Here is a 10,821-nt window from a genome sequence, read left to right as displayed (position 1 = left end):
CTGATTGTGAGTGGGAAGACAGCCATTTGAGAGTTGGAATCCTCCAAGATAGGTCCAGCCTGCAGATATAGATACTTTTTCTATACATATCTGAAAAATAATATAAACTAATAATATTTTTAAATTTATTTTATTTTATTTTTTGAGAGGGAGTTTCTCTCTTGTTGCCCAGGCTGGAGTGTAGTGGTACAATCTCGGCTCATTGCAACCTCCACCTCCCAGGTTCAAGAGATTCTCCTGTCTCAGCCTCCCAAGTAGTGGGGATTACAGGTGCACGCCACCATGCCCAGCTAACTTTTTGTATTTAGTAGAGACGGGGTTTCACCATGTTGGTCAGGCTGATCTCAAACTCCTGACCTCAGGTGATCTACCTGCCTCGGCCTCCCAAAGTGTTGAGATTACAGGCGTGAGCCACCACGCCTGGCCTAAAATTAATTTTAGTATCAACAAATACTTCACTTCTCTGGGTTAACTGGAGAAGCAGGAGGACATAGTGGTTAAGAGGTGTGCTCTGTTGTCTGAAAACATCAGTAAGAGTTCCAGCTCTACTCTCCTTAGTTGTGCTCCCTGCAACAAGTAACTCAGCCTTGTGGAATGTCAGTTTCTTTATCTCAAAAATGAGATAGTTCTACCTACTCACATGGTACACAGTAAATGCAATGACATGCAAAGTGCCCATGATGTTCACTGCCATCACTGTCACCATCACTGGTCACCTGTCACCTTTTATTTATTTTTTATTTATTTTTCATTTTTTAATACAGAGTCTTGCTCTTGTTGGCCAGCCTGGAGTGCGATGGCACGATTTCAGCTCACTGCAACCTCTGCCTCCTGGGTTCAGCGATTCTCCTGCCTCAGCCTCCCGAGTAGCTAGGATTACAGGTGTGTGCCACCACGCCCAGCTGATTTTTGTATTTTTAGTAGAGACGGGGTTTCGCCATGTCGGCCAGGCTGGTCTCGAACTCCTGACCTCAGGTGATCCACCCGCCTAGGCCTCCCAAAGTGCTGGGATTACAGGCGTGAGCCACTATTTATTTATTTATTTTTGAAACTTGAGTTTAATTGCCATGCGACATGGGAGGAGATGGAGTTATTACTCAAATCAATCTCCACCTTTCACCTTGTAAAACATCATCCTGTATTTTACAGGAAAAACTATAAGCCTACCTCATTATTTAATGATTATTAATTGCTTTTAAAGCTGATTCCAGCTCAGATATATAAAATTATGTCAGGTGAGGACTGATTTAATCCAATTATATTTTTCCGATAATTTTTAAAACTTAATCCCCAATGTGATAGTACTGATAAATTTTTTTTTAATAAAACTTTACTTGGGATTAGAACTATAAGCATTGTAACTACATTTACACAGGCTTCCACAAAAGGCTAAATCACCAAATCACCCCTAAGTAAAGGGATATTTGGATGAGCTGCTGTTGCTGCACATGCAAACTTCGTAACAGCTGAGAAACAATACAGGGCAAAAAATGTAGTATTAAAAAGATTAGACACCTGTTTAACTGTGAAGCGTTCAGCGGCTTCTTTCTAATGGGTTTGTGGTACTAAATGAATAGGGGAAGATGACATGCACTAGCAGTTCCTACAGTGTCCCCAAACAGAATATCCTGCACCAAAGCAAATAAACTGTGCAAACATTTGTGGAGGCAACAGATGCCATTTATTCTAAGGAAAGCTTCCCATTTTGAAGCTTTATGCTATTGAAACACTCTGTGAGTTACAATGAACTATGTAATGTTCTTCTTAGTCCCTTACTCACTCCTTATGATATTCTGCCCCTTATCCCCATTTTCCCAGAAATTCTGTTTTAGATGTTCTTGTTCTGGATATAGACTATCCTTTCCTTTTCCTGGGCATAAAATAAAAATAAAATAAATAGCAGGAGGGAGTTTATATTTTACTGAGAAAATGTAACAGATTCAGGAAGTAATTTTGATATTAACTTTGCCTCTAGTATTTTTCTGATATTGGTAAGAATTTGAAAGTTCATGTATATGACTGCCAGGAAGCAGTTAAATTCTTCTCCATTTGTTCAGGCAAGAAGAGTGGTTATCCAGTAAGTGGCAGCAAACAGCTTATAGATTCATCTTTTCTGATTTTCTAACTCTCAGATTCTTGTGAATGAAGCAGAATCATTGATTGAGCAACTGGAAATGAATGCAAAAGTAGAAGATGCACATTGTGAATCTCCTAAGAAGCAAATATGAATCCATTCCTTCCTCCTCTCCAAGAAATTTCTCAGGGCAACGGAGTCTACTGATGCATGAGCACTCAAAAGACACCATAAGGCGTTTGCTGCATGACTTAATTCTTTTTTGGACACAGAGCAGATTTTGATGACTTACTATGATCATTTTAAATTCAGAACACTGCATCGCCAGCATTTAGGAATTGCACTAAAGGAAAGTGAGAAGTGAAAAATGCGAAATGATTGTCATGGTCACCACACATCCAAGATTTTCTGCGACAGTCCCAATTTCAAAGATTTTACCTTGTTATTCCTTTAATTATACTCTTTCTTATTAGACCAACTAGTCAGGTTTGGAAAAACTGTTTTTAAAGGGCCACTGTTATTCTTAGGTATATGTTAATTAATATTTTACAAAACCAAAGAAAGTCTTTAGAATATTACGTGAATATTCTGTTCATTCTTTTCTTTTTTAGAGATGAGGTCTTGCTCTGTCACCCAGGCTGGAGTGCAGTGGTGCCATCATAGCTCACTATAGCCTCAAACTACTGGGCTCAAGCTACCCTCCGACCTTGGCCTCCCAAAGTGCTGGGATTATAGGAGTGAGACACCATGCCTGGCCCACATGAATGTTTTCTTAATTATCCTAGGAAAAGTAAATTCCTTTATTACAAATTATGGGAAAATACCTGAACAGTGTAGTTCTTGGAATGATATTGATGATTGCTTTAGTAATTTTCACATTATTGTAATGGTACTTGTTAGCTGGAATTTTGTAATTGTCAATTACATGATCACAACATGCAGACACACCAAAATATTTTTGTTTCTTCTCCTTCTTTTTTTTTTTTTTGAGACAGAGTCTAGCTCTTTTGGCTAGGCTGGAGTGCAGTGGTGTGATCTCGGCTCACTACAATCTCCACCTCCTGGGTTCAAGCAATTCTCCTGTCTCAGCCTCCTCTGCGCCTGGCCACCCTTAAACATTTTTGTGACAATTTTCATGTGTAATTCTTACATTGCTGAAAATTGATTTGGGTTAAAAGTGAACCTTCAGGCCCGGTGCGGTGGCTCACACCTGTAATTCCAACACTTTGGGAGGTCGAGGTGGGTGGATCACTTGAGGTCAGGAGTTTGAGACCAGCCTGGCCAACATGGGGAAACCCCATCTCTACTAAAAACACAAAAATTAGCCAGGCATGGTGGCTCACACCTGTAATCCCAGCTACTTGGGAGGCTGAGGCAGGAGAATCGCTTGAACCTGGGAGGTGACCGTTGCAGTGAGCCAAGATAGAGCCACTATCCTCCAGCCTGGGTGACAGAGTAGGACTTCATCTCAAAAAAACAAACAAACAAACAAACAAAAAAACCTTTAGATGGCCTCTCTAGAAGTGGAAGTCATGGAAAAATTTGAAAAATTTCATTAATTCCAAAATGCTTTTAAATTAATTTTGAAAAGCAGCAGTTTAACACATGGAAATGCTACTTCTTCCTGTATATTAAACTTGCTAAAGAATTTAGAGCTTGTTAGGCATATTCTGCATTGAGAAGCAATAGTTTATTATGTTTTGCCTGTCAATGCGAATGTTTTTGTTTATATCATTCTGAGGATCATTCGTTTTTCACTTACTGTTCAATACTAATTAATATTTATTTGTCATTAAGCACTTTACATCATCATTTGTCTAGTACTTGGCAATTTAACTCACTTTCCCATTTGTTCTGTGCAAAATGATTTGCACAAAACTTCTCAATTCCATTCTTCCTTTCCCTGCCCTAAGGGCTAAGGGCTTATTACTATGCAGTAAGTTGAAGAGGTCAACGGTGTCAGCCAATGGATTTCCCCCTACCAAAACCTTTCCTGCCCTTCCAAGGTAGGGGCGAGATTCAGACATTTGGGGTGGATTATCTGAAGTTTTGTCCTCATTTAGCTAGATCAAAATATGGTAGAAAGACCAGGGGCTTCATAATCACACAAACAAAGTTTTGAATTCTCATCCTGTTGTATATGGACCTTATTCCAAACCACTCTAAGACTTAGTTTCAACATCTTTAATAAGGGGACAATACTAACTAAGCTCATGCAATTTTTTGAAGATTAATATATCTAAAGCACCCAGATTTAGTACCTTACGCATATTAGGCTCTGAATAAAGTTAGCTAATTTGGGTGAATAATAAATAAGTGTAGGAAGAACAACACAAAAGAGAATTTAGAAGTAAATTAACAAGGCATCTTTTGTGTCTAGGTAGTATGGTACAGTGGAAAATGGATGAGGACCAATCTGCCTTCATCAGGCTTCCCAACCAACTGAACGTTCCCCTAATCTGTGAAAATGAGCATAATCACGCTACTTCATGGAGTGATCATGATATAGTTAGGCTCATCATATGAGATCTTACTTTCCCTTTTCTTGCTTCCCCTTTAATACTCTTTTAAAAACCAAAAAAGAGAATTTTAGACCAATATCCTTGATGAACATTGCTGCAAAAATCCTCAATAAAATACTGGCAAACTGAATCCAGCAGCACATCAAAAAGCTTATCCACCATGATCAAGTGGGCTTCATCCCTGGGATGCAAGGCTGGTTCAATAAACGCAAATCAATAAATGTAATCCAGCATATAAACAGAACCAAAGACAAAAAGCACATGATTATCTCAATAGATGCAGAAAAGGCCTTTGACAAAATTCAACAACACTTCATGCTAAAAACTCTCAATAAATTAGGTATTGATGGGACGTATCTCAAAATAATAAAAGCTATCTATGACAGACCCACAGCCAATATCATACTGAATGGGCAAAAACTGGAAGCATTCCCTTTGAAAACTGGCACAAGACAGGGATGCCCTCTCTCACCACTCCTATTCAACATAGTGTTGGAAGTTCTGGCCAGGGCAATTAGGCAGGAGAAGGAAATAAAGGGTATTCAGTTAGGAAAAGAGGAAGTCAAATTGTCCCTGTTTGTAGATGACATGATTGTATATCTAGAAAACCCCATTGTCTCAGCCCAAAATCTCCTTAAGCTGATAAGAAACTTCAGCAAAGTCTCAGGATACAAAATCAATGTACAAAAATCACAAGCATTCTTATACACCAATAACAGACAAACAGAGAGCCAAATCACGAGTGAACTCCTATTCACAATTGCTTCAAAGAGAATAAAATACCTAGGAATCCAACTTACAAGGGATGTGAAGGACCTCTTCAAGGAGAACTACAAACCACTGCTCAACGAAATAAAAGAGGATACAAAGAAACGGAAGAACATTCCATGCTCATGGGTAGGAAGAATCAATATCATGAAAATGGCCATACTGCCCAAGGTAATTTATAGATTCAATGCCATCCCCATCAAGCTACCAATGACTTTCTTCACAGAATTGGAAAAAACTAAAGTTCATATGGAACCAAAAAAGAGCCCACATCGCCAAGTCAATCCTAAGCCAAAAGAACAAAGCTGGAGGCAGCATGCTACCTGACTTCAAACTATACTACAAGGCTACAGTAACTAAAACAGCATGGTACTGGTACCAAAACAGAGATATAGACCAATGGAACAGAACAGAGCCCTCAGAAATAACGCCGCATATCTACAACTATCTGATCTTTGACAAACCTGAGAAAACAAGCAATGGGGAAAGGATTCCCTATTTAATAAATGGTGCTGGGAAAACTGGCTAGCCATATGTAGAAAGCTGAAACTGGATCCCTTCCTTACACCTTATACAAAAATCAATTCAAGATGGATTAAAGACTTCAATGTTAGACCTAAAACCATAAAAACCCTAGAAGAAAACCTAGGCATTACCATTCAGGACATAGGCATGGGCAAGGACTTCATGTCTAAAACACCAAAAGCAATGGCAACAAAAGCCAAAATTGACAAATGGGATCTAATTAAACTAAAGAGCTTCTGCACAGCAAAAGAAACTACCATCAGAGTGAACAGGCAACCTACAAAATGGGAGAAAATTTTCGCAACCTACTCATCTGACAAAGGGCTAGTATCCAGAATCTACAATGAACTCCAACAAATTTACAAGAAAACAAACAACCCCATCAAAAAGTGGGCAAAGGACGTGAACAGACACTTCTCAAAAGAAGACATTTATGCAGCCAAAAAACACATGAAAAAATGTTCACCATAACTGGCCATCAGAGAAATGCAAAATCACAATGAGATACCATCTCACACCAGTTAGAATGGCAATCATTAAAAAGTCAGGAAACAACAGGTGCTGGAGAGGATGTGGAGAAATAGGAACACTTTTATACTGTTGGTGGGACTGTAAACTAGTTCAACCATTGTGGAAGTCAGTGTGGCGATTCCTCAGGGATCTAGAACTAGAAATACCATTTGACCCAGCCATCCCATTACTGGGTATATACCCAAAGGATTATAAATCATGCTGCTATAAAGACACATGCACACGTATGTTTATTGCAGCTCTATTCACAATAGCAAAGACTTGGAACCAACCCAAATGTCCAACAATGATAGATTGGATTAAGAAACTGTGGCACATATACACCATGGAATACTATGCAGCCATAAAAAATGATGAGTTCATGTCCTTTGTAGGGACATGGATGAAATTGGAAATCATCATTCTCAGTAAACTATCACAAGAACAAAAAACCAAACACTGCATATTCTCACTCATAGGTGGGAATTGAACAATGAGAACACATGGACACAGGAAGGGGAACATCACACTCTGGGGACTGTTGTGGAGTGGTGGGGGGGGAGGGATAGAATTAGGAGATATACCTAATGCTAAATGACGAGTTAATGGGTGCAGCACACCAGCATGGCACATGTATACATATGTAACTGACCTGCACTTTGTGCACATGTACCCTAAAGCTTAAAGTATAATAATAATAAAATAAAAAAAAATACTCTTTTAAAGCACATTCTCTGCCCGCTCCTTTTTGGACAGAGACTGACTGATAATTTATTTTATTTATTTATTTATTTATTTATTTATTTTTGAGACAGAATCTCACACTGTCACCCTGGCTGGGGTGCAGTGGCACGACCTCGGCTCACTGCAAGCTCTGCCTCCCAGGTTCACACCATTCGCCTGCCTCAGCCTCCCGAGTAGCTGGGACTACAGGCACCCGCCACCATGCCTGGCTACTTTTTTGTATTTTTAGTAGAGATGGGGTTTCACCGTGTTAGCCAGGATGGTCTCGATCTCCTGACCTTGTGATCTGCCCGCCTCAGCCTCCCAAAGTGCTGGGATTACAAGCGTGAGCCACCGTGCCTGGCCAAAAATTTAATATCCACTCTCATAATGTTTGAAAAATAGGAGGGGAAACGTGAGGTGATTTAGGTTCTTGTTTGCATTTCTGATGGAAGATGGGTGAATCTCTTGATGATAACATGTCTCTATTATCTGTGGGTCTAAGTTCCTAGGCAGGTAAACTGAGGACTGCCCACACCAACTCAATACAAAAATCCAGCTGCTCTGATTTGCTGATTGCAGCTCATTCATTTCATTTACATTTATTAACTGCCTACTGGTACAGACATGCTAGTCATGCAACTGTGAATAGAACAGTCCTTGTTATAGAGAGTTATAGACAACAAATTATTACAGAGCTGTGGTAGGTAGGTAGTATAATCCATTTATTTATTTGAGAAATATTTGTTGAGTATTTATTGGGTGCCGGCACTGTGATAATGTGTTAGATACGGCAGGGAAAAAGAGCTAGTCTCCAACCACGAAGAGTTTATAGTCTCTTGGGAGAGACAGATAATTACCCAAGTAGTAACAATAATACAGGGTTGCAATAGAAGAAGTGTGGAGATCTATGAGTTTTTAAAGAAAGGGGACTTTAGCATATGATCAAGAACCTCTTGTAAAGGAAGTGATGTGTAAGCTGAGATCCGAAGGACAGGTAGCAGTTAACCAGTGAGAGAAAGAAGGATGGGGGAAGGAAAGTTTCAAGTAGAGGCAATAGTGTGTGGAGAGGCCCAGGAACAATGCAGAGTTTAGCACATCTGAGGAACTGACAAAATTCTGTTGTGGCTGCACAGAGAATGTGAAAAGGAGGTTGATATACAGGTACTAGGAGAGCACTAAGTCCACTAAGTCCACTAAGGTGGACTTAACTGTGCCCATGGATGTCAGGGAAGGATACCTAGAAGGGAAGAAATTAGAATTGAGGATAAGCATGAGTTCACCAGGTGAACAAAGGGAGGTGAAGACATTTCTGACAAAGGGAAGGAATGCATAACATCCTAGAGAGAGGATGAGACCGGCACATTCTGGAAATGAAGCTCACAGTTGTTTGAATGAAGGGATGAATAGTAGGACAGTGATGGGAAAAAACAGACAGGGTCAAATAATTAGGGACTTTGTTAGAATGAATTGCGACATTATGCTGTTAACTAGGATAGGGATCTAGAGGAGAATTTTAAGGAGAGAGACTCATGGGAAGTAACTGAGCATCTGAGTGTGTAATAAGGAGGAGAGATAGCAGGGTGGGCCCGACAGGATGCAAGAAGACACCCTGGGAGAACACTGCCCTCATCCAGGTAGAATATAATGATGGTGTGAGGAGATGGGGAAAGCATTCATGAATAGTGATGTAATTGACAGGTCTAGATCATTCAGTCCATGAAGAAGTGATGAGCAGGCAGGATCAGGGATGACTTTTCATTCTTTTGGCTTTGATTGTGACTCCACTAAAGAGATAATTATGGAAGAAAGAATAAATTTTGGAGAAAAGATAAAAGCTGCAATAAAGGAGATGGTGAATTGAGGTTATCTATGGGACATCCACATGGGGAAGTCTGCAGTCAGGGGGCTGTGTTGGTCTGGAACTCAGGAGAGCAGTCTAGGGTGAAGATGTGGATTTAAGAGGCAAGTGTACGGCTGGGCGCAGTGCCTCACATCTGTAATCCCAGCACTTTGGGAGGCCGAGGTGGGTGGATCACCTGAGGTCTGGAGTTCGAGACCAGTCTAACCAATATGGTGAAACCCGGTCTCTACCAAAAGTACCAAAATTAGCTGGTGGCGTGTGGCTGTAGTCACAGCTGCTCGGGAGGCTGAGACAGGAGAATTGCTTGAACCCGGGAGGCAGAGATTTTGGTGAGCCGAGACCATGCCACTGCACTCTGGCCTGTGTGACAAAGCGAGACTCTGTCTCAAAAAAAAAAAGAGGCAAGAGTAGTAAGTGATAATAAGTGAAAGGGTAAGATTGATTGGAGCCACGTAGAGTAAGAAAATTAAAGTCATTTCTTGGCCAGGCACAGTGGCTTACACCTATAATCCCAACAGTTTGGGAGGCTGAGGCAGGAGGATCACTTGAAGCCAGGAGTTTGAGACCAGCTTGACCAACATAGCAAGACCTCATTTTTATTTTTTTAAAGTCATTTCTCACTTGCCTATACTGTCTGAGTTTCTTCTTTTTCTACGGGTGTGTAATATTACTGTGTAAATATTTAAGGACATTATTTCCAAAGACTATACACAGTAGGAGGAATATCTGTTGATCTGACAACAAAGAAAAGGATAGTGGGGCTGTAGGTAAGTTTGTAAGCAAGAAGACGAAAAGTGAACAAAATGTTTTTCAAGTGTTCATATTTAATTAATGCTCTCAATGTCTTTTTTCAGCAAAATGAGGATAGCTGCTGATCCAAAGGGGGCAGGGATTGAAGAACATGGCAGAAATGTAGAATAGCTTATTCAAAGAGGCAACAGAGGGAGTTGTCTAAAGCTAAGTTTTAAAAGATTGAAACGAAGCTTATATTCCTTTTTGTAAAATGGTGCTATACGCAGGAGTGTTCCTAAGCAGTCAATGGAACAAACTGTTTGAAATCTGGGCTGTGTGTGACTTTTCTGGACAATATAATCATATTATGATGATAACATGTTTTTAATGCTCAGTATAATGTGTGTGCCTTTTTTTTTTTTTTTTTTTTTTTAATGAGACAGTCTTGCTGCTTAGCCCAGGCTGGTCTCCAACTCCTGGGCTCAGACGATCCTCCCACCTCTGTCTCCCAAGTAGCTGGCATTATAGGCATATGCATTTGGCATATGTGCCTTTCATTTATTTATTTATTTAGAGATGGAGTTTTGCTCTTGTTGCTCAGGCTGGAGTGCAATGGCGCGATCTCAGCTCACTGCAACCTCCGCCTCCCAGATGCAAGTGATTCTCCTGACTCACCCTCCCAAGTAGCTGGGATTGCAGGCATGCACCACGACACCCAGCTAATTTTGTATTTTTAGTAGAGACGGGGTTTCACTATGTTGGTCAGGCTGGTCTCAAACTCCTGACCTCAGGTGATCCACCCACCTTGGCCTCCCAAAGTACTGAGATTACAGGCATGAGCCACTGCGCCCAGCTTACATGTGCCTTTTAAATCTCAGGCACAGCATTTACAAAAGTACCATGCAACGGCCAGGCGCAGTGACTCACGCCTGTAATCCCAGCACTTTGAGAGGCCAAGGCGGGAGGATCATGAGATCAGGAGATCGAGACCATCCTGGCTAACGCGGTGAAACCCCTTCTCTACTAAAAATACAGAAAATTAGCTGGGCATGGTGGCAGGCGCCTGTAGTCCCAGCTACTCGGGAGGCTGAGGCAGGAGAATG

The sequence above is a fragment of the Homo sapiens genome, chromosome 8, assembly GCF_000001405.40.
Source record: "Homo sapiens chromosome 8, GRCh38.p14 Primary Assembly".
Classification (NCBI taxonomy): Eukaryota; Metazoa; Chordata; class Mammalia; order Primates; family Hominidae; genus Homo; species Homo sapiens.
The sequence above is the reverse complement of the archived record's forward strand: the minus strand, read 5'-3'. Positions refer to the sequence as shown.